The 25,520-nt window shown below is 38.0% G+C and overlaps 1 protein-coding gene across 55 annotated transcripts in view; it reads right to left on the bottom strand.

Annotated features, from left to right (window-relative positions):
- PTPRD (protein tyrosine phosphatase receptor type D) overlaps window positions 1–25,520 on the bottom strand; it is a 2,298,757-nt gene that overhangs the window by 27,820 nt on the left and 2,245,417 nt on the right. The gene's annotated exons all lie outside the window — the stretch shown is intronic.

The raw sequence follows: 25,520 nt of genomic DNA on the forward strand, positions 1-25,520 counted from the left end.
AGACCTTACATCCATTACTTCTACTCAAATAGCTATTGGGATGACTTTGTAATACTCTAAAGTCAAAAGTATTATCTAGGCACCATAATCAGAGGACAGGGAACAAAAGACTGAGTAAAATTAGTTTAGTTTTAAAATGTAAAAAATATTAAATCCATAATCACTATGTTCCTTGATCATGCAATACAAAGTGAACATTATTTCGAAAACTTTTGAAGTCATTATGAAAAAAATACAAACATTTAGTCTGTCCATATTTAGAAGATAGTTTTATATATTGGTCCAGATCTGGCTAGGCTATAGTTCTTGCAAACTCTCTCAATCTGTTTTCGTCCCATGTACAAAACATAAAGATTGTTTTTACAGTCTCAAGCTAAACCTCGCATGCTTCCTATTTATCAAACCCTTCAGGCTGAGGACATTTATGTGTCAAGTATGGTTCAATCCAAAATACTTTCTCTTCCTGATCATGCGGGTTTATCAGGCTGGTAAACATGTCATCAACAGGAATAGGTATATAATAGGTGTATATTACCATCTTAGGTAACAGGCAACAGACAGCCTCCTTCATTTGCTACATGCTATGTTTCCTGTCATCTGTGTATCTATGTGTTCATTTATTGTCCATCCCTCATTGATCTGTCCATTTCTTCATTCAATAAACAATGAAGTACTCTGCTAAGTGAAATAGGGGATACGACATAAAGATGACTTAGATGCTATCTCTAAAGAGCTCAGAGTGTATCGAAGGGACATAATACTTTATACACAGCTATTTCTAAACAAGAAAGAAAAAGGATGTATTAGTTTTGTATATGATGTGGCATTTGAAGTAGGACTTGAAGGACAGGAAGGATGAGGAATTAAAGATGTTGTAGTATGAACAAAGGACGGATGGCTTTGGTAATCACACTGCTGGCTCTGGGAGCTACATGTGAAATTTTCATAGGTCTGGCAAGGCACCTTTGCAACGAAGATACCAGAACTCCAAAACAAATGAGTTAATGCTCACCAGGGTGCCTGTCTCAACTGAAATGGCAGTTTCTGTTTGGTATCATAGTGGCTGCAAGGCAGTAAGAGATCATTTTTTTTTTAAACAAAATAATACCTTTATTTAACTGCTGAACAGTGTATATCAAAGCTAGCTTGCATACAGGAGCTCTGTGGTTTACAGACTGGGCTAACTAGCTGGGAATTTGATATAACCACTACTTTAAAATAGGTTACTTTTTTATGTCCTATGCCAGAGGGCTCCTGAATACTGATGCCAAGAATCCAATCCCAAGTATAAACCCACAAATTGACATGACATTGATATATCATGCAAAAGCCTTCTGAGACAGAGAGTCCTACAAATGATAGCACATACCTTAGCACAGACCAATTGGCAACCTGATGCAAACATTAATATAGAGCAAAGTCGGCCTGGTGGTTCCAGTTCCTTGAGATCCATGAAGTCTCATTTTATTTAGTTGGTTCTAAAGAAACCTGTTAGATGGCGAGTTTTCCCTGACATTCCCCATTCCTACCCTCCCAGGTGGTTTTAATCATCCTCTGCCTCAGATCCCTGGTTGCCCTCAAATACCCCTTTACTACAATTCTAACCAAATTATATTATTAATTTAGGGCAGCCATCCATAAACAACAGCATACATCTTGAGAGCAGGAACTGCATTAAAAAAAATATTTGTGTGCCCTACACAAAGCATGCAGTAAGTGCTCAACAGTGTTTGTGAAATAAGTAAACAAATTAGTGACTGGCTTGAGATGCCTGCAGTAATGAGCAGCCCGTCCCGGTAAGGTAAGCCTACTTAGGAAGCAGGACTCTTCAGACCATGCAAAATCCTACATTTGACAAGGGTTTGGAATTATGTAAGGAGTACCCGAGGACTCCTCTGCATAGTGTTTGATCAGGAATAAAGAGACAGGAAAATCACTTTAAGTAGTCTCTTTGCTGGTCTCCTGATATGCCATCAGATTGCAGTTAAAGGAACCTAAGTCAGACTCAACCTGGAAAAGATTTGTCTTTCTGGGTTTCTTTCAAACTCCATGTTTGGCAGGTCCTGAGACTCCAAGTAACATCTTTCGTTCTTTCTGTGTTGTCTTTCTAAATTGTCTTCATTGCAGCTGTGAATCGTTTCTCATGGACACAGTTTTATGCAGTTCTTCCCAGTGGAAACCACACTGTAAACCTTAGAACTGAGCCCTATACATCAAGTCAATTCTAGATAATGGCAGGACTATTTTCTCAAAATATGCATCAGGGACCATTCAAATGTCTGGATGATGCATGGTTCTATATTCTGGCAGAAAGATACTACAGAATCTTGCAAAATTGGTAGGAATAACTCCAACTCTAAACAGTATCAACCTTTTCATAATGGTGATTTTTTTTTTCCAAAAAATAAGGGAAAAAAATCAAATACGTGTGAGTCCAAATCATGAATTGTGGGATGAAAAGAAATAACAGAGGCTATGACTTGAACAAAACCTATTTTTTCCCCCACAATTCAAAATATTGTTAACTGCCCAATCCTGCTATTCATATGGAAGATAGGGAAGGAGCTGACGTTTGGAACTTAATGTGTTACCTTCTTCTAGGATGAAGAATTCTTGAGGGATTTAAACATTAAATAAGTGTTTTCGCTTGAAGCAAGACCTTGAGGCTTAAGGTACCTCTTCAGACATCAATGGCTGTGTGTCCTTGAGAAAGACATTTTAACCCCTTCCTTATATTCCCATATTTCTTAAATGATAGTGACAGTTAACTCTTATTAACGTTAATTTTCTAGTGAGTCTAATTATCCAGTAAGTCTTAAGGCTAAATTAAAAATACCAAGTGTTTTGCAAACATAATGGAAAAGGCAGTTACTTTCTAGGTACAAACTCCATTTTAACATTCAGTCTCTAAAGCTGACAATGAGAAACAAGCAATGTAATGCTGGGAAAATTATGACAGAATTACTTTAGAAACATTTGAGATTTGGCTTTTAAAATCTTGCTTTCGTCTACTCTCTCAAGCTGCTCTTCCTTTCCTCTGCCTTCTTTCCAATAAATGTGCCTTATACCTGAGGAGCTTTCTGCGTTCACATTTATCATCGTGGCAAATGAGATGGCAGGCAAGGGCCTTCCTACCACAGTGCTTGACACCTAAGAAGCATTCAGTAAATGTTGGTTTCCTTTCCCCTTCTCTGACAACACTTGGGAACTGCCCTGAAGTCCTACAGTCATGCACGCCATACCTGGATAGCAGAGAAGACTCAAATGCAGGTTCTGAGGTGTTAAAATTTAGCACCCTGTTCCCAGCACCCCCAGTGCTTCACAATGCTTTCCACCATTTAGGTCAGCAGTCATTGCCAAATATGGTGACTTTCCTGTAGAGCGCTCGTCTGTGATATTTCATTGGCAGCATTTGACTATCCCTAATGCAGGTTCCTAGAAAAGCTTTCTATCCTTGGTTTTAAGGACACTAGTCAAGGGAGTATGGGAAACATCAGATACTCCCTTGGGGTTAATGGTAGCAAGGGTGGAGATTGTGTCATTACTCCAGACACAAAATAATCCAAAACAGGTAGTACACGAAATCAGCCCAAAATAATTGTATCATGATCCTGTATCACGGTTCCATTGATTCTGTAACAGGGTAGAATTCCTACCACGTTTGAAATCGAAATCAAAGATGAACTCTAAATGTCATCTTCAGAAATCTACTGGCATCCGTTCAGACTGTGCCTCAGTATGTTTCGTTTTGTTTTTTTTATTTGACTCCAGTGCTAATTCTCTACCTGCCTCTCTGGATTCTTCCATCTGTATCAATTTCACGGATTACATATCTCTGCCAGTCCCCAAAATGTAGATAATGCTCCAAAAGTTCTGTCCTTCTTTCTCTCAGTAGTAGTCTCCAAAGGATTCCTAAAGTGATGCCTTTCTTTTTCAGCACAAGTGGAGATCTATATTTCAAACTGTCTTCAAGTTTATCAAAAATAAAGATTCTAAGCTTAATCAGTATCTTCTCCTTTCAAATCTGCTCCTCCCACTCTCAGGCTCTCCTTGACACTCAGGTTTAAAACTGAAAAATCATCTTAGACTCTTTTTGCCTCTTACCCTGCAAAATAATAAATTATAAATTGTTATGTATTCAAACTCCACGATTATCTTCAACTCCCCATCAGTGGTGTGCTAGAGCTAGCAAAAGCCAATCCTTACATTTTCAGGGATTATTTGCTGAAATAAATATATTAAAAATAAAGGTAATATATAAAACTCATTGTTTCTTAATTGTTTCAAATTATTTTATGCTCTTGAGGTGAAAACATCATATAGAGTAGTCCCCTTTTATCTGTGGTTTTGACTTTCTGCAATCTCAGTTATTTGCGGTTAACCACGGTCTGAAAATATTAAATGGAAAATTCCAGAAATAAGTTTTCAATGACATACTTTTCTGAAAAGTGTGGTGAAATCTCAAGCCCTCCCTTTCCATCCAGCCCAGGGTGTGAATCAATCCCTTTGTCCAGTGTATCCATGCTATACAGGCTGCCTGCCTGTTAGTCACTTAGTAGCCATCTCGGTTATCCGATGGACTGCCCTGGTATTGTAGTGTTTGTCTTCAACTAACCCTTATTTTACTTGATGGCCCCAAAGTGCAAGAGTAGTGATCTGGGCAATTTGGATATGCCAAAAAGCAGCTGCAAAGTGCTTCCTTTAAGTGAAAAGGTGAAAGTTTTCAATAAGGAAAGAAAGAGAAATCGTATGCTGAGGTTGCTAAGATCTATGGTAAGAATCAATCCTCTATATGTACAATTGTGAAGAAGGAAAAAGAAATTCATGATTGTTCTGCTGTTGCACCTCAAACTGCAAAAGCTACGGCCACAGTATGTGATAAGCACTTAGTTAAGATGAAAAAGGCATTAAATTTTGGGTGAAATACATGAACAGAAACATGCCATGACTGATGGCAAGTGAGCTTGGTACTCTCTGGGGACTCAGGCATCCACTGGGGATGTTGGATCATATCCCCTGCGGATAGAGGGGGACTACACTAATAATGTGCTGGTGATCGTCTCTCTCTAGTGACCTCATGTTTGTAGCTTGAAATCATCCATGGGAATATTTACACCAAAGAAATCAGGAAATACTACTTTTTTTCTCCCCAGAGAGCAGGTTTTTACATATTTACCAGCACATATGACTATGCTAAAGCATCCATTCCCACCATCCAGGGACAAAGAGGAAGAGTTCCTAACTTTGTTCTTCCATCCATATTTGTTGTATTTTCATGACTCTGTCGCCTACTATTCCACAAACATTTACTGAGTGCCTACCATGTGCTGAGACATCGAAGAAGGAATGAGCAGAACAAACGTGATCTTTCCTGTCGGAGCTTACAGTTTAGTGGGGGAATCTGACATTAAATAATCACATGAATAAACATCTAATTACAAATCTCAAGCGGCGCTGTGAGGCAAATGTGAAGGATGCTGGTAGAGCACCTTTGAGGAAGTGCCATTGAAACTGAAATCTGTTATGGGCTGAATTGTGTTTTTCTTCTCAAAATTCATATGTTGAAACGCTAACCCCCAGTGTGACTGTATTGGACACAGGGCCTTTAGGGAGGTAATTAAGGTTACATGAAGTCACAAGGTGGGAGCTTTAATCAGATAGGATGGATGTCCTTGTAAGAGGAAGAGACACCAGAGATCTTTTTCTCTATGCATACACAGAGGAAAGGCCGTGTGACGGCACAGTGAGAAAGTAGTCATCTAAAAGCCAGGAAGAGAGGCCTCTCCTGAAACCAACTCTGCCAGCACCTTCATCTTGGACTTCCAGCATCCTGAATGGTGAGAAAGTAAGTTTCTGTTGTTTGAGCCACTCAGTTCGGAGTATTTTGTTATGGAAGCCCCAGCAGACTAACGCAATACCTAAAGGTCAAGTAACTGTTTGCTAAATAAAGAGGGTGGAAAAGCTTTTGAAAAGATATCCTAAAAAAAAGTGCTAGAATAGACAACATAGCACATTTGAATAACTAACAGAAAGCCATCGGCTGAAAGGCAGTGAGGGAAAAAGAGGGCATGTTCCACATAGTTATTTTCCATTTTAGGGACTGGCTATAACATTTTTATTAAACTTATAACCACATCAGCAGCATTTATTTAGAATAATTCTGCCTCACATGTTTCACAGTTTATCTTTCTGACATGGCTCATCTATTCTTGAGTTTATTTTGATGCATCTATTGGTTGGCTGGAATATGTCTTTGAATAATGCTTTATATAAGATATGCATGGATGCCACTTTTTCTGATGCCTTATATATCTGAGAAACCCTTTGTGGGTTTCTTTTTTTCTTTACATATGACCAACAACTTGGTTTTGTGCAGGATTACTGGGCTCCAATATTATCTCTTCAAACTCTAAATACATTGCTTCACGGTCTTTGTTGTCCTTTGACAAAGTCATAGGCCAGTCTGGTTTCTGGTCTTTTAATAGTAATTTTTGCCCCAAGTAATTGGGGGTTGTTTCTTTAACTTGGAGGTTCAAAAATTTCATCTAGATATGCTTTAGGCATTGATCTCACTGTTAAAACCGCAGGGCCCTCAGGTAATATTTTCATTACAAGATTCTTGGCTGTTCCTCAGCACTAGTTCAAATTAAACATGTTTTATGCTTTCCCACCTCTGGGCGTTTGTGACGCTGGACCTTCTACCTCCTTCTCATCTGTTGACATGTACTTTCCTTCAAGATTCACCTCAACTGCTGCACCCTGAATCAACATTTCCTTTTGATTTATTCCTCCTTGGACTCTTTTGACAATTTATAACTATTTTTTCAGCAACTGCCTTACTTTAGTTTTGTTTTCTGGTTATTATCCTTATGCCAGTTGGCGCTCTCCTCCAGGGAAAAGACAACAGCTTCGTTGTCTCTACTGTTTGGCAATTTCCATGCCAGGGAAATTGAAGGTGCTCAACTCGAGTGACAAAATTTATAAAAAAAAAAAATTTAAAAAACTTTAAAAATAGGAAGCCCTCTCCCAGATCAATAACACATAGGGGAACATTTCCCCGAAGCCCCCAGCATGGGAAAATTCCTTTGATACATGTTTACAAAGATAAAGTAATGCTTATAATTTGATGAGATGCAAACAACCTGTGCTTATGCTTCACTCCAATTGCTGAGAAATAACAAACCTCCGGCACTTATTTTTCCTTAAGAAATTGAATGTTGAAAATTCAGAGCTTTTAAAAGTATCCCAGCCTACTTTTGTTTGAATTTCCAAGTTCCCACAGCAGCATATATTTATTTTGTTTCCTTCTCCAATTTACTCTTTTTTTGTTCACCCATCAGTATCTGAGTGCAGTGCACCTCTCAAAATGAAGGATTGTACTTCTAAAAGCAAATGCATTTTTCTTTGATCCTGAAAAACTCAGCTCTCCATTGCAGTGATAATGACGGAACCCTATTTAGTGCTGTTTGTTTTTCATCATTTCAACAGCCTTCAACTTGAAACATGATAAGAACAGCAAAACTGATAAACCACCCTTATTTTTATCTGTTTTCTGTCAGAGTAGTTGCCAAGCACTGAGACAGATTTTTCTAAATATCTTTTTAAAAAAGGAGTGCATAACCCTGTGCTTCAGGCTGAGGCCAGCACAATTTAGTACATTTATTATGTTATGTTACAGAAAATTCCAGCAAAAAGAGAACGGCAAGTTTAAATGGAGTCTAGCATTATGTTGGTCTCTGTTATCCCTAAAGTAAAATCAACTTTTTATTTTCCGGTGAGGACAACTATTCCACTAATGAGAATCAGAACACAAACTCTATATTTGTTTGACTTCAGCAGCAAACCAAATTATTGCTAAACTTTAGTGGTTTTTTTTTTTTTTTTAAATTTCAGTAAGTGATAGACGTTCCAGTGTTTACAAGCTGAAAGACTATGCAATCCATTAAACAAGTATGCCTACTAGGAAATTGTTATTACTTCAATATTATCATTCATCCAGTTACAACATTTGTTTTCAATTTCTAAAAACATGATTGAGTTAGTCCCACGAGTTGAAACGGGCTTAATGTCCCGTGATGTGATACAGTAGTAATGTGCAAAAAGAAAAAATTAAGAGGCATACAGGGACTGTTTTATGCTAAAGTCATTCTGGAGATGTGTTTAAAAGTTGGCTTTTCTGATTAATGTGGTGGAGTTTTAATGCTGACCCTTTCCTGGTACTTCACTGATCTGGCAAAGAAAGACAATAGAATTAGGATATTTCACACATCATTTAGTTGGGTGCCAAGACAGTAAAATATGGACTAAAAAAATCATTGTGAGCATTTTGTACATATGTCAGCTTATAATTTGATTGGATATAGTTCACCTATCATAATGGTATATGAACTACAAGTATTTGACATCTATGAGAAAAGATTGAGTTTTACGACTCAGGTTTATAAGATTAATTAGGTGACTCTTTTAATAAAACTGTGATGTGACTCTGATGAGGCTGCCATTGTGAAAACCTTCTTTCATTCTTTGATAAAAATCAACATTTAACTTTATAAGCAGATACTGGGCATCTCTACGATATTTGGGGTTCACTACAAAAAACAGACCCACAGATAGGTTAGTTTCTTCTAGCATCTCTTTTACCTAGGATAACTAGAGAAATTATATTAATTTCTTTGACAAAATATTCAGCTGTCTAACTTTTATATATTACAAAATTAAAATGAAAAAAAATTGAACAAATTGTCATTGATACGCAGTCAAATTTGTCCATGCTATTCAACATACACTATATCCCTATACTAATTAATATATAGTAGTTATAGCAGTTTTAAGGGGTAGTTTTGCAATCTTCATTAAAATTTCAAATGCACATACTCTTTGACCCAGCACCTCCAACTCTAGAAATCTAGCACGGAGGTCTATCTACACATATGCACAAAGAGAGTAGAAAGAGATTTTATTGTAGCATTGTTGATGTAGCAAGTTAACTTAGTAAAACAATCATGGCTAGGGAACTAGTTGAATAAACTATGGTATATCAATACCATGGATGTGATGTAGCAGTTAAAAAGAATGAAGCGAATCCATGTATTGACCCTCTCCAAAATAGCATCTAAGACATTGTCAAGCCCACTTAAATATATTGCAGAACAATATATATAACATAACACCACTTACATTGTTTTAAAAGTCCATTCAGGATTACATATCTCTATTTGTACACATGTTAATGCACAAAACATGGTCTGAAAAGATACACAAATCAGAATAGTTCTGAGAAGGATCGGTAATGGTGGCAGTACAGATAAACTTTCACTTTAGTTGAAGTATTTTTTTGTAGCTTTTTTTTTTAACAAGGATAACATAATAATCTAATAATGGAATTAAGAAGAAATATAAAGCAATGGGTAAAAAGTTACTATAATAAATATCATAATTACAGTTCAATAAAGAGTTGAGGCTCCAAAGACACAGAGAGAAAAGATGGAACCTAATTAACTCTAGCTCAGGAATACTGCCTTGCTCAGTGATGGACTGTCAGAAGTCTGGGTGATGTTGGCAGCTCCTGTGTAGCCCAGACTTAGTCCTGCCATCTGGTGCTGGCTTTTAAAGAGTGGATATCAGAAAGTAAGGGGATATAGGAGTCATTGTAGAGAGGAGACTGCTTGGCAAAGAGTAAAAAAAAAAAAAAAAAAAAAAAAAAAAAATCTAGAGTTAGGGAGATGACCCAGAGCCATGATCACTCCAGAAAGGTAAAATGTAGTACACTTGAGTGGTGTCTTCTGAGGATAAAGGAAGTTCACATTTCATCAACAGAGAAGGGGCAGAAACTAAGCACAAAGTTCCCAAACTGCCTGATAAGGATCCTTGTATAGAATACTGAAAGATCAGGGATGAGCTACCAGGTTATATCCCTTTGGGTGTTTTATTTTTCCATGCTGGGTGAAAAGGTAATTTCCTAAAAAACCAAAACTCCGTCTCGAGAAAGAAAAAAAAAATCCACATGGGCCTAATCTGATTTTTTTTTTTTCAAATATGTAGACTCAAACTAAAATCTTCCAAAGACTTCTGCATGATCTTGGCTTTGTCCCAATATTATCTGCTGAACACACTCCCTATTATTCTTAAAATGTGATTCTCATGATAAATTAGAAGGCTAATGTGTTCGCGTAAAGAACACCTGAATATGCCGCAGCAGGTCTCATTTTACAGATGGATAGAACAGGCCATTAGGCATGGATAGAGCAGACTCAGCTGGCTCTGATAATTGGTAGTTGACTTGAATCTGAATAGAGGTCAATCAAATGATGCTACGGAAGTTTAGAGAACTATATCATTCACACAGAGATTTTCCTTGTAAACCATACCAGCTCACTCCGTATTCTAAATTCTGTTTAGAGTGATACAAAATTGCCCACTTTTTGAAAGAGGAGACAACCATTTACCAGGCCTGCCAAGTAAAGCTGCGTGGGTTGTATACTGCTCAACCCAAAGGAAGTTACAATCACATGGACTACGTACAACGTGTGCAACCTGCTCAGTCCACACAGCAGGCTTGTCATTAGAAATATAAATGCTATTACTCCTGATTCAGGTTAAGCAAGATTCAAAGAGAGGAGCCACTGGAAGGTACTTGGAGGGCATTTGAACTTTAGCAACTTTGATTAGTTTGTAAGGCATATCATTTTCCCACACAGACAAGATTTTACTATGTACACAAATGCCAGGAGTTTTTTGGTTTTTCTTTTTAAAAAATGCTATTATTGCCCAGGCATGGTGGCTCATGCCTGTAATCCCAGCGCTTTGGGAGGCTGAGGCGGACGGATCACGAAGTTAAGAGATTGAGACCATCCTGGCCAACATGGTGAAACCCCGTCTCTACTAAAACTACAAAAATTAGCTGGGCGTGGTGGCACATGCCTGCAGTCCCAGCTACTAGGGAGGCTGAGACAGGAGAATCGCTTGAACCCAGAAGGTGGAGGCTGCAGTGAGCCGAGATCACACCACTGCACTCCAGCCTGGCGACAGAACAAGACTCCGTCTCAAAAAATAAATAAATAAAAGAAAAAGGCTATTATCGTTATTTAAATGGTATTGTCCAATAGTTTGGAAGGCTCTAAATCTGTGGTTCCTTGTTTCATTTTGTCCTTTTGTTTGACTCCTGCAAGCTTTTATAAGGCAGTGAGAATCTCACTCTCAATACAATCAGTTTATGATTGTTTGCAACACCCTAGCAACCTCCAGCAGGCCTTTGTGTTGGTTTTGTAGAGGCCTGTTATGGCTTCTGATCCGGCTTCTTAAACTCATGGGTTTCTGAATTATGAATCAGTATGCCTATTTATTTATTTATTTATGAATGTATGAATGAATGAATGAATGAATGAGATGGAGTCTCACTCTGCTGCCCAGGAGGCTGGAGTGTGCTGGTGTGATCTCGGCTCATCGTAAACTCCGTTTCCTGGGTTCAAGTGATTCTCCTGCCTCAGCCTCCTGAGTAGCTGGGATTACTGGCACACGCCACTACACCCGGCTCATTTTCCTTATATTTAGTAGAGATGGGGTTTCACTATGTTGGCCAGGCTGGTCTCGAACTCCTGACTTCAGGTGATCTGCCCGCCTCAGCCCCCCAAAGTGGTGGGATTACAGGCATGAGCCACTGCACCCAGCCAGTACTGCCCATTGCCTCTTCTAACCCTTTTGCCTACTCACATTCGTATACATATACAAATTTGAGACTCCTTCTCAAAAAAAAATATATGTATATATGTATATATGTATATATGTATATATGTGTATATATGTATATATGTATATATGTGTATATATGTATATATGTATATATGTGTATATATGTATATATATGTGTGTGTACATATATATATATATATATATATATATGTTTTTTTTTTTTTGAGAAGGAGTCTCACTCTGTTGCCAGGCTGGAGTGCAGTGGTGCGATCTCAGCTCACTGCAACCTCCACCTCCCAGGTTCAAGCAATCATATTTTTTAAATATGTCTTTTATTTATTACATAATAAATTGAAATTTTTAATACCTTATTTATATTTATCCAAAACTTAGAAGTTTAAGATCATTGCTAAGTACTCCTTATTCTTTTTTTCACTTTTTCATAACTTTTCTATTGTAATTATAAGGTGCTAGAATCCATAGTTCATCAATGCAAAATGTAAAATGGGATTCACTTCCACAAAGTCAAACACAAGAAGTAACAGCAAAATAAACAGAAAAACTTTATGTAACACATTCATCCAATGAAATAACTATCTACCATGACTGGTAATGGTTGTCCTACAAGATGGACGAAAATTTCATGAAATAACACCAATACGAAAAATTTAAATAATAGTAATGTTTCTACTTTTCAATTATAAATGGCTATCCACATAACTGAATTTTCTTCTAATCTGCTTCAAGACTTAAAGAATTTTCTTTTTCTTTCCTGTACTAATCATTGAACCTCAGTTTCTAATAAATTTTGGAGCATCTGGGCCTTTGAACTCCTTGAATAAAGGTACTGTTAAAATACTAAGGTTTTCCTGTTTGTTGGTTGGTTTGACTCAAGTAGTTGCATATATTTACAGGCTTAAGAATTTGATGAAGATCACGTGGCTGTCACTAGGGAGCTAAGACTTGGGTCCACGTCTCCCCTTCCACCAGACTCTCACTTCCACCAATGGGAGTTTTACTATGAACAGATGACAGTTTTCCTTGGAGCTCCCCAGATGGACCCAAGGTCCACGATTCTATCAATCAATTTAGGCTGTAAGAATGTTGGTCCAAGAGAGAAATGCTGTTCCTGTAATTGTCTTTTATTCATGAAACATTAGCTCTCCCACTCTACTGCACTACTGAAAAATAAATGAATTAAGTGGTTTTTAAAGCACTGCCAAAATAGGTCTTTGTGAACCTGGTGATATAGTTTGGATATGTGTACCCTCCAAATCTCATGTTGAGATATGATCCTCAATGGTGGAAGTGGAGCCTGGTGGGAAGTGTTTGGAGCATGGGAGGTGGATCGTTCATGAAGGCTTGGTGCCCTCACGGTGGTAATGAGGGATATTGAGTTTACATGAGAACTGATTGTTTAAAATAGTGCGGCACCTCTCCTGTCTCTCTCTTGCTCCCTTTTGCCATCTGATACACTGGCTCCCCTTTTGCCTTCCACCAAACTTCCTGGGGCCCTCAACAGAAGCAAATGCCAGTATCACGCTTGCTGTACTGCCTGCCAGAACAGGTTGTAGGCCAAATAAACCTCTTTTCTTCAGACTAACATACCTGGTTATGTATCAGCTAGTTACATTTATGTCAGCTCTATCTCTTTTAGAATATTTTGGTCTATGGTTGACCTTTTAGTTCGAGTGGTATGCATACATACTGACGAATAAATAAGAGCTAGTATTAAGTGTATTTAGAATAACCTACTGGTCATGTTTAAGGATGACAGTAGAGAGGACAGGGTTTGCCTCTCATGCAGAATAATACTAGAAGATGGGAAACAGTTAAGAGACTGTGACACCAAAGAGCTGAAGGTTAATATTCAATAATTCAACTCAATGGATGCAAAATGGGAGATTCCTCTTCTATGTATCAATCGCCATGCAGTGTACCCCAGGCATATATACATTATATGTTCAAGTAGTCTGAACATGCTGCTAGGGACTGTGAGAGCACGGAGACCTGGGCTCTGTCCCAGAGGTTCTTATTCAGTAAGTCTGGGGTGGGACCAAAGATTGTGCATTTCCAACAAGTTCTAAAGCCATGCTGATATGGCTGGTCGCTGGGCCACACTTTGGGTAATGAGGATACAGGCACATTGCTAACATTTTTATATGTAAATACAGACAAAAAGGTGCACAGAATACACTCATAATAATGTACATATGTGTGTGTTTACATACATACACATAAATTTAAAAAAATCAAAATCTCTCATTCATAAGGATTTTTTGTCCTTAGCAATGTAAAGTTCAATGGAAAGGAGAGACCGCAAAGGGCTGCTTTCAAAAACGCAAAGTTTGCTTTTCATTTTTTTTAAGACCAAATACTTTACTATCTCCAGATACCTGAAAATATATGGAATTATCTTGTAATAAAACTCAGATGCCCAAAGCCCACCTTTTGAGTTTTCTTTGCAAGAAACAACCCCAAATGCGAGCAAATCAGATACCATGTAATAAGACCTAAAAGTATTTTTCCAAAGACAGAAAGAAAAATATCTAAGCAATAGAACCCAGATTGGAAAGACACCAAACAAAGATAACAGAACTATTTTTAAGCCTCATTTTATGACCAAGGGGCACAGCAAAATAGTTTGAAATAGAAAGTTTTCATGCTGATTACATGAAATCAAAATACACACTGTTCAAAGGCAGCCAACATTATTATTTTTTAAATGCAGTCTAGTTCATGCAATAAGTTTCAGTGTTCTTTCAGTCTGGGAACATTTCAAAATACATTGCAGGTACAGCTGGGAAAACTCAGTGATACCCCTGTCCAGATCTCAGCTATTAGGTTATAAAAATATTTTCACATTTCCTGCAGATGTCTAGATTCCTTTCTTTGGTAGTAATTTTAATTCAGACCTCATTATTGACAGCTGTTTGTTCTGATAGAACTTAATTGCTCTTCTACCAGACTCAGCTGCAGGCAGGCTGATTTCCTTTCCTTATAGAGTATATTACATATAAACACAGGCAGGAAAAAAATAACCAATTAACTAAATACGTGTGCATAAAATGATTCATTGAGAGCTCTGATCAAGTAATGTATCCAACTGCAACATAGGTCAAAGGAAATTACAGCACTTATAGTTTACAGTATTAAATATAATTATATAGAAATACTCAAAAGCACTAAAATATATAGATGATGAGTGGCAGCATCTGAAAATCTACTTTTATCAAAGAAATTTATAAAATTACTATATTTGAGTAACTGGAAGGGTATTTATTCTGCTGACGGATTAACTCATGGATATCTATTTTACATAAGCTATACGCTACAAAGAACCTGAGATGCCTTCCATAACTGACAAAGTCATGAGGAACCCAGCATGCTGTGGGATCACACTGCAATGCCAACAATTCTTCTTCGAAGGGCAGAGTTTCTGGGGACACACCAACTCTTTTCCTCATTCTCCAGTCACTGCTGTGGATGAGCTGCTTTTCCTAACTTTACCAGAAAATGAATACAAATTCTTTGAAGTTAAAGCTATTCCCTCTGTTTGAAGACAATGCCTCATTTTAGCAGCTCACCAAGAGATGCAGGAATAGCTTGGCAATTTTCATTCTATCAAATGCCTTGGCAGCCTCACTCATGGAGTCTAGGCCTATTTGGAGACCCCAAGCTGCCTTCCTTACTGGACTGGAACCCCTGAAGAGGGATAAACCGAGGGCTGAATTCATCAAAGAACATATAAGCAGCAAATATACTGCATTTGAGACAAGCAATAGTTCCTTTTATTGGCTCTGTCTGTTTTGGAAATGGAGAGAATGTGGTGAGCAGGGAAGAACAAACTGCTCCTTAGTAAGGAACCCACTCAAGGAAAATGAAGTTTTTTTCTTAATACTAGGGACGCTATATGGTGCATCCCTTTTCGGGGCCAATAAATGCTTCTCTTTGCAGACTTAATCTACCTCATATAGGGAGGAAGATATTGGGAATAGGATGCTTATTACCCTGATAATTCTCAGGGATGCAGCATACATTTCCATTAATACTAGGCATAATGCTAATTACAATGCAAGCCCCACACTCAACATTTACAAACCCTGACAAAATGAATGTAAGTATCCTACAGGGTTTGGTATCCACAAAATCTGGTCAATAGCCTACTCCCAGTCCCTCCCTTTCCCCTAAGTAACAAAGGAAACCAATACTTCTTGGTCTTTGAGAGTAATTCTACTAAGTCCCGTATTTTTTAGTCTATACATACAGATCATTATACCCTTCAGATTCTTGCATGGTATGACTCCTGGCATCGTTTTGGATTGTGACACTTCTACTCTAATGCTCACTTTATTTAGTGTCTGTTTCACACATGGCATAGTTCTAAGGGAGGATGCAATGTGACCTCATAGACACCATCTCCAACCACGTATCTCTAACGGTTGAAAGTTACAGCCTGGGGAAGAAATTCAGTTTTGGCTCATGGAATTAAAGACTTACTACACTTTAAAATTCCCCCCATCATTTTTTTTTTTCTTGAAGGTTCACTTCTTACTGGTTAAAATAGTTTAAACATAATTTAAAGTCCTGACTGAGTTGATGATACTGACTATTTTGTTTTCAATTAAGCATAACAGAGCAAATGGTCTTTGATGTGATGTACTCATTTTATGAAAGAACCAGGCTGGCAAACAAAAATTTTATGGAATTTAGAGATACTAACTCTGGCTCTTCCACCTGCAGCTTGTATCTTAAATACATCATTTATTTATTCTTCCAGAGCCTCTGTTTTCTCACCTGTAAAATGTAAACCTATTTCCTAAGTTTTCTATGATACTGTCAGCAAAATACATTTTAAATAATAGCTTCTTGATCAATGTTAATTTCAGTACTCTTTTTTCTATGAATTGAGGACCTAGAATTGAATATTTTAATTCAGTTAGCCTAACCACAGAGTAGATATGCAACCTTCCTATTCTTGCATAGTTTATTAGACTTCTACTAATAAATTTTATGAAACCAATATTTAACTTTATTTTCTGGTTTAAATCCTCTCAGGAAAAAAAAATGTAATATAAAATTGAATCAGATTTCTTGTAATCCCAGCACTTTGGGAGGCCGAGGCGGGCGGATCACGAGGTCAGGAGATCGAGACCATCCTGGCTAACACGGTGAAACCCCGTCTCTACTAAAAATACAAAAAAATTAGCCGGGCGTGGTGGCGGGCGCCTGTAGTCCCAGCTACTCGGGAGGCTGAGGCAGGAGAATGGCGTGAACCTGGGAGGCGGAGCTTGCAGTGAGCCGAGATTGCACCACTGCACTCCCACCTGGGCCACAGAGCGAGACTCCGTCTCAAAAAAAAAAAAAAACAAAAAAAAAAAAAAACAAAAAAAAATTGAATCAGATTTTAGATTCGGCAGGGATCTTAGAGATCTGGTGGTTCTCAAAGTGCGGCCCCATGACCAGCAGCATCAGCAGCATGTAGGAAACTGTTAGAAATGCAATTTTTCAGGCCCCACCCCAACCTAGAGAATCAGAAACTCAAGGGGTGGGGTCAAGCAGTTTGAATTTTATTATTTCATTATTTTTGAGACTGAGCCTCGCTCTGTTGCCCAGGCTGGAGTGCAGTGGTACAATCTCAGCTCACTGCAACTTCCACCTCCCAGGTTCAAGCAATTCTCTTGCTTCAGGCTCCCGAGTAGCTGGAATTACAGACATATGCCAGCAAATTTATAAAATAATTATAAATTTTATAGTTTTAGTAGAGACAGGGTTTCACTGTATTGCCCAGGCTGGTCTGGAATTCCTGGTCTCAAGTACTCCACCTGCCTCAGCCTCCCAAAGTGCCAGGATTATAGGCGTGAGCCACCCCACCCGGCCAGCTATTTGAATTTTTAAAAGCCCCTAGGTGATTCTGGTGCTTGCTAAAGTTTCTGAGCCACCCATCAAGCCATTCTCTTGCATTTTACAGGTGGAGAGACTCAGGAACAGAGACTAAAATAAAATCTCTGTATTTCAGTTGCATTGCTTTGTTTGTGTCAAAGTTCTGTTTTCCTCCCCTTATCTCAAGTACCACTTAGTGTTTGTTCCATCATTTCTTCCTTTCCTTAGGCATATGGCTATCAATATGCATGGTCTTATCTGACTTCCATTTAACCAATTTAACTCAAGCTTTCCTTTTCCTCCAAAAAGCTCCTCCCATTGCTTACTGCACTAGGTCAGCTCAATGTTTGTTAGGAGGCTACTCTCCAGGTTGTCTGTGGCTCTAGAATGTTTGTGGTGTCATCATGTTTATTCCAAAAATAATCAGTCATTTCATTTAAGTAATGTAATTCTTAGATAAAATGACGAGATATAGTTACAAAATAAATGAGTTGTTTCTGTAAAAACCAAGTTAATTACTTTGGAAAGATAGACGTAAAAGTAATTTGTGTCCCGTCATAGCCAATAAAGTACCATTGAATTAGGTAAGGGTGACACAACTGCAGGTAAATGGAAAAATATTTATAAACATCTAGATGGATTCTAAAGTTGCTTAACTTTAGAAACAAACTACTGTTTGCTGTTGATATTAAAAACACTAAATCTGCTAATCATTGGTCATACTCAAATAAGAGTTCTTAGTCCCAAATTTTAAAAACTGGTGAATCTAATATACAGTTATGCATTTGAGGTTAATGTCAACTGTATACATACATTTTAGGGTTCTTTGCTTCACTTGAGGTTTTGTCTAAATGATCAAGTCTAAACTGAACATATAGATCAAGGTTCCTTCTGAATGGTCTTGATTGCTTTAGATCTCTTCATATATGATGATTAAGCTTTTTGAAGGAGATACCATACTCTATAACCCACAGTTTTGCACAGTGAAGTTGTAATAAATATTTACTGGTTATATTTATATATACATTTTATTGAATGTTGCTAATTGATTAGCCAATTACACTTAGTAGTTCATCATCTCGTTTTATTACTGTGAGCCAAATTATCCAGGCTATGAAACATTTCTTTTATGATAGCACTTCCTGGAGTCCTTAGAGAAATTCCAAGGGGGGACAAATAGTTCTATAAATTTCCTCTTGAAGGCTCACAATGCATTAGGCTGAGAAACCCTGCTGTAAAGAAACCAGTTAAACTTACTTTTACCCATACTTATTTGACTACAGAAATTCACCCCCCTGCATCAATTAATAATCCATGATTCAATGTGCACATATATTGATGAGGTATCCCAAATTTTCTAAGTGATTTTCATTCTTATGTTCAAACCTTTTTTTCTGTTTCTGTAGATTTTCTCATACTTCTTATAACCCAGAATAGGTGTGAATTATGTATGCCAATTATGAATGCGTCAGATTAAATGGTCAACATACGGATTTGTAAAACTTAGATTGGTAAAACTGCTATTTTTTTCTATTTTCTTCTTTCTTCTCAATGAAGTAGCAGAACATTTTAAATCTAGCTCTGCTTTCACAGATTAAAAGAAAAATTTTAGCAGGGGAATGTGAAACTTAGAATGTCAAATAACAGGCAGTGGTGGAGGCTTTGATGAACTGAGCCTAATTAAAAGTAAAGGTGCTGAGTGAAAATTTTAAAAGACTGCAAGCCAAATGTTGCTAAGGACAATTTGGGGTACAAGCTTTCCAAAGAGGGAGGTGGTTTTAATACTCTGTAATCATTTTGAAACTTCATGCTATAAAAGACTTCAGATGTAGAAAAGCAGTCTAGGTATCAGATTATAACAGCATAGGACACCTAGTCTAGGAGCACTCAACCTGGAGTCGAGAAAGCAGTAATAAATGCCCTTTACACTACCTCTGTCCATGGAAATTGAATATTTACCTGAGATAAGGTTGCCCAGGCTATTAAAATCTCAGATGTTGAATGGCAGTTATGTAATGAGTTTCTTTGAAAAACAGAAAATGAATTGCCATTTAACAAACACTGCCTGGAATGTTGATAATTGAAGCTGTGTGATGCGTGCTTGGGGGTTCATTATACATTCTCTCCACTTTGGGGTATGTTTGAAAATGACCAAACTAAAAAAAATTCTGAAAAAACAGCCTCCTTTGTTCCCGCTTAAGGTAAAGCACTTTCTAAGTGTACAGAAGTCCCCCACAGGGCAGAAATAACAAAGAGGATCGTGTTCAGACCCACTCACCTTCTTCCAATAGCTAGGACTGGACTATTGGTTTCTTAAGCCATAGCCAAACTGTGATATGGTGAAGCTTTAGCAGAAAACCATGTGACTTGATGAGATTGCCCATGCAGAAATGCAGGCAAAGAATTCAGCAAGAGGTATGTAGACCACCTTGGGAATTTGTACCTTTGTACAGTATGCAGGCCACAAAGCTTCACTCTAAAAATGACTTACATGTAGAATTATTATCTCAGATTTTAAAGATGTGTTTATTCCTAAGCCTTTAGAAAATATAAACACAACAACAAAGGCATACATACCTATCTCTTGTAACTGGACTACATTCACAGAGCTCCTTACTAAATTCTGGAAGAGGTTTTGCTAAGCTTGTAGCTTTACTATTGTACCCTACAAACCAATAAGTTTGAGTTTAATTGAACCAAGATAGCAAATGGATTTCAGACTATAGTACCTCAGAGAAAATAGTCTGAAACCAGGTCAATCATTTTCAGACACACGAAAGAGGGATGAAATATTAACCATAGATTGTAGAGGAGGATTTTTGTGGTTTGTAACATGATTGGTTATGGTTTTTCAAATCTAAGTAGCAAGCATGAGTCCAGACTGAGAAAGCCTCTGCCCAATTGATTAGAATTGGAGTTGGTTCAGGTTGACAAAGTGAGAGTTTAGGATGTGAAGAATGACTGACCACCTATAAACCAAAATTTGGACTGAAGTTGTTTCTTCAAAGAAACAGATTTCTAGAAAACCAATCACCATCATCATAATCATCATCAGAGTAAACAAGCATTTAATCTATCTGATTTTATCCAGTTTTCCTCTGAGAAGATGCCATTGGCAAATGACCAGACTGTTCTCTACCTTTCTACAGAGCTATAACTTCAGTCAAGTGAGTGACTTGCACAAGATCATACAGTTTTATCCAATATCTCTTATTTTTCTACATTTCTACAATTATCATTTTTTTGATCCTGAAAGCTAAGTATGTAGTGAAAGTCATGGAATTCAGAGTTGTTTTTATTAAGACACACTTAAAATGAAGATTTAAAGATCCAGGAGCTTGATTTATCAGTTTAACATTTTAAAATTGCCTACTATATATGCAATTGCCTACTGCTTTAGGAAGTATTTGATTTTTACTAGGGTTTTTGAGCATGTGTAAAACATAGATTATATCTGGAGACCATTCGTGGTCTCTGTTTGTCCATACAAAAATCCAACAACCCTAGCTCTTGATAAAATTTGGAGGCTTACCATTGTGACCATTTGAGGTTGCATCTTATATACATTTATCTTCTGCATTCATTTACAGTATTCACTCTTAGCTTGGAGGACAGTATAATTTAAAAAACCCAGCATCTTCAAATAATCTGTATTTAGACAACACATAGGTCAAATCTCAATATAAGCTCTGCTTCAGTGACAAGGAGGAGCCTTACCGCAGTGAAGGGAAAAATCACAGAAAAAGGCACTCCAATTCACAACTCTTCTATACACATCTAGGGGTAGTTAGGGATTCAAGAGGAAAAAGCAAATCAACCAGGTGAAAATGGCAACAACAACAAAAAAGATCAGGTGGCTGTTCTGAAAAAAATTAAAAGGCCCTTTTTCCTCCTCTCTTACCTATTTTATAGATTGACCAAAAAACCCTCAGTTTGGGTTGTACTTGGGGGTTTTGCTCTTCTCATCCAGTCCTGTGAAGGAAATTCACATTGCACTTAACTGGGTGATCAGAATAGAGCAGTGAGAAAGAAATTAATAAGCCTTTGCAGGCTGACCAATGTCCTATTGGGGCTCAAAAGTTTGATGGGATAACTTGGAAGGTCCAGCAACTTAGGAGAGTTTGAAGACAGACAGCCCCCACCCCCAGCTATGTTTTGTATCCAAAAAGAAATTTTTGCTAGCTGAATTCATCATCATTTACTTTGTCCTCAGCACAGAGACTGCTTGCATATGCAAGCTTTTATTTCAAAAGGGATTCTCTTCTGATTTTGGTGTCACTTTATACATTTCTGTAACAAGAAATTCTCTCGGCAGCTGTACTTATGTTAGAAACACAAATGTACCTTATTAATGCCAGTTATCAAGGCAAAGGGTTTGAAAATACTTGCTAAACATTTGTTTATTTATATACAATATTTCAGAGTTTTACACAGCTAAATACTGGCATATAACAAACACTGTGAGTGTGTGAAAGAAATATAAATGATTCCAGCAGATGGCATGGTCAGAAGCAAAGGGTTTGCAAGTGCAAGAAATAGCACAAATCCAAATTGAGAAATCTGAATGGCTGTAATTGTAACACATCTACAATGGAATCAAGAAGGTCATTTACATTACGTTAAGAAATACAGAAGCAGAGTCTTATATAAGCGTGTTACACAAAATGGAGATTTGGCACATGGGTTATCATTGGACAGTGTACCACACACAGTTTTTATTTCGGTTCCAGCAGAAAAACAATATTGACAAATTTCTTTCTCTCTTTGCTTCCTACTTTATCGAATAGAAGAGGTAACAATAGCATCTGCTGCAGCTGGCTGGAGCCTGAGATGAGGAAATTGTAGCTGATGGGCCTCCCAAGCATATCGACACTAAAAAGCTCATGCTACAGCCACGGCACAGCCAGGCTAGCACTCCAACGGGAGCGGCAGATACACAAGGCAGCCACTGTGAACCAGAGCAGGGCCTGCCAAGACAGCATGTCAAGTAATTTTTAGTGGCCTGAAGTGGTTTCCACCATCACAGCTCCAGGCACTGCCGCAAGGCAGGACAAGTTTATCTATCTCTGACATCTTCTCCATCTCCCTTTGGCATCGCTCTACGATTTTCTGCTGCGGTAGCCTCACTGACCAAATTGGTACCCAGTGCATTCAGGGTGCTCCCTGGCTACCCATCAGCCTTTCTTCCCATTATTCATGGGCTTGAAGATCTGGGATGCTTAATTGGGTCTAATGTGTCAAAATTACCTACTCCAATCATCTTGGTGTCAAACATAACACTTCCTCTCAATATACAGGTGCTTTCTGGTTATTTTCCTAATGCATCTAGAAAATGTTAAGGGACCCTTTAATCAAATTGATTTGAACAAAATTTTAAGGACCATACTGCAGTGGAAAACATACTAGACCCGCAGTCTGAAGACTTGAGTCCAGCAGAAGCCTATGGGAAAGCTGTCAACCTCATTGGCCTAATTTTGTTTTCTCAACTCAACTCTGAAATTTAAAAAAAAAATTAAAAAAAGAGAAGGCTGCAGGAGGGGAAGTGGTCTGAGAGTCTGGAAATGTCCCTTCCACGGCTATGATTCACTGTGAATGAATCATAGTCCTGTTTCTGAGTTCAAAAAGAGGCCCACTAGCCCCAGTAAATCTTGAATTACAGGAAGATGTAAAGAAAATATTTTTGAGTTAGGATGTAAGGAGAGTTAAGAGCACAAGTTTCTCCTACCCACAAGCTAATATTTTACCAGAAGTAATCAGGTAGCAGTTATGAAATGCATTTTTGAGAATGGACTTTTTTCCTACTTTCTTACCTATTTCACATACTATTCATAAACCCTGTATTTTGGGGTCAGCTTAGGGGGCTTGGCTCCTCTCATCGAGCCTGGGGAGGGAAATTCACATTGTATTTAGCCAGGCTGATGAGCATGGAGAGCAGAGTTCCACCAATCCAGTAAATAAGGTTCAGCAATGTGGCACTCAGAGGTAGAATAAATGAGGTCATAAATGAGTTGTTGTTTTCCCATCCAAAGGTGGAGTATGCTTCCCCATTCCTTGAATCTGGAATGGCCCCTGACTTGTTTTAAACCAAGGAATGCAGCAAAAGCAATTGTCTCAAAAGGCCTTGTAGCTTCCCCTTTGATGTCCTCAGAACCCTGAGCCCACTGGACCAGGATGAAAAGCCTTGGGGAGAAAGAGAGACCCCATTTGGCTTTCCCAGCCCTTCAAGCTGACTGAGAAAAAGAGCTCAGGAGAGATAGGCAGAAGATCCATGTCCTGCCCCAAGTCAACCCACAGACTTGCGAGAAAAAACAAATTACTGTGGTTTTAAGCCACAGTGTTTTGGGTTGGTATTTGTAGGTAGCAATGCTAACTGACAGACATACCCTCCGTTCTGCCAACTCCTGTGGCACACAGGTGTACCAGAAACAGAAATACGGTTATAGTATTTTAAAATATGATTCAATGCTCAACACCAAAACAAATGAACAAAAACAGAGAGAAAAGAAATATTCTCAAAATAATCATAATTCTCATCATCCTCTCCCTTTCAGACATTAAATGAAATTTGAGCAAGAGCAAGTGGCTGTTTACCATTGGAATGGAAGAGCCACAGTTAATCCTGACTCATTTTATCTAGTTCTTTTTTTAATATACTAGAGATATGACAAACCATACACTCAGCAAGCACCACTGTGCACTGGTGAAACACTTAACTGCTGCCTCTCCCTTGATGAACTGCAATGTAGAGAAGAATTTTGGGGGGAAGTGGAAGAGGTATTGAGGGAGGTGAGATGGGAAGAGACAGAAAAAGCAAGACTGCTCATGTCCCTTGGAAGAAAGTAGACAAAAACAAAAAATGAAAAATATTTAAGTTTTTCATAAGCAACTCATCTTTGGTAAATTTCTGTGATTTAAAAATAAGTGTGCTGTCCCAGAAATCTGAACCCTCAAAAATCAAAGGGCAAAGAATTTCAGGAACCTGCAAGCTTGAGGAGGCAGTCTGACATTATGACTCACTTTCTTTCCATTCATCTCATCTGTTATCTTTGGCCTCCATTAAACAATGAGAAAGGGACAGTCACTAAGTCATATGCCACTTGAGGGCACTCCTGGGGCTTATTGTTTGGAACTGCCAAAATGCTGGACGTCATACCAAGTGTGAATACGAAGCAATGTGACTAATATCATAGCACAAAAGACTAGCATTTATCAACTCCAAAGAGCATGGCCCTTAAAACTAGCCACTTTGAGAGGACAAAGATTTAATGCAACGCTGCCATGGTGCAAAAATATTTTTGGAACTCCTTCTTGGCAGTAGAGTTAAACGCCTACGGCCTGTTCTTTTGAATCCAGTAATGGTGGCACATCTTTGTCCTTGAAAGTGGATTTATTTATTTATTTTTCTAGTGCCAAGAGATACCTGGAGCCAAGCGTATGGTTTGTATGGTTGGTGACCAAGGTAAGAAACACTATTAGATTTCTTTTCAAGTAATGAGCCTAGTTCTCTGTATGCTTTAAAAGGTTATAATTAAAGTAAGTCTCACAAAGAAGTTCTCCAAATATTTAAAATAAGAGTTGCATTCAAATAAGCATTTTTTTTTTAAGTTAGAAGCTTTGAGGTGGGTTATCGTTTGGACCCAATAATTCTGCCAAAATTAAAAATTAGTTTTATTACCATAAGCAGTGGTTTTCATGTAGGGGCGATTTTATATCCAAGGGGACATTTGGCTATGCCTAGGACATGTTTTTATTGTAACAATGTGGGGGAAGGGAGGTGAGGGTGGTGAGCAAAGCCCAAGGACGCTGCTAAGCATCCTATAATGTATAGGACGGCTCTCATAGCCAAAATTCTACGATCTAAAATGTCCAAACTGCTGAGGTTAAGAAACCCTGCTTATAGAAACAATTGGTTCTAATAAGCAAAGCATTTATTTTAGTGCAATGATATA

The sequence above is a fragment of the Homo sapiens genome, chromosome 9 (assembly GCF_000001405.40).
Source record: "Homo sapiens chromosome 9, GRCh38.p14 Primary Assembly".
NCBI lineage: Eukaryota > Metazoa > Chordata > Mammalia > Primates > Hominidae > Homo > Homo sapiens.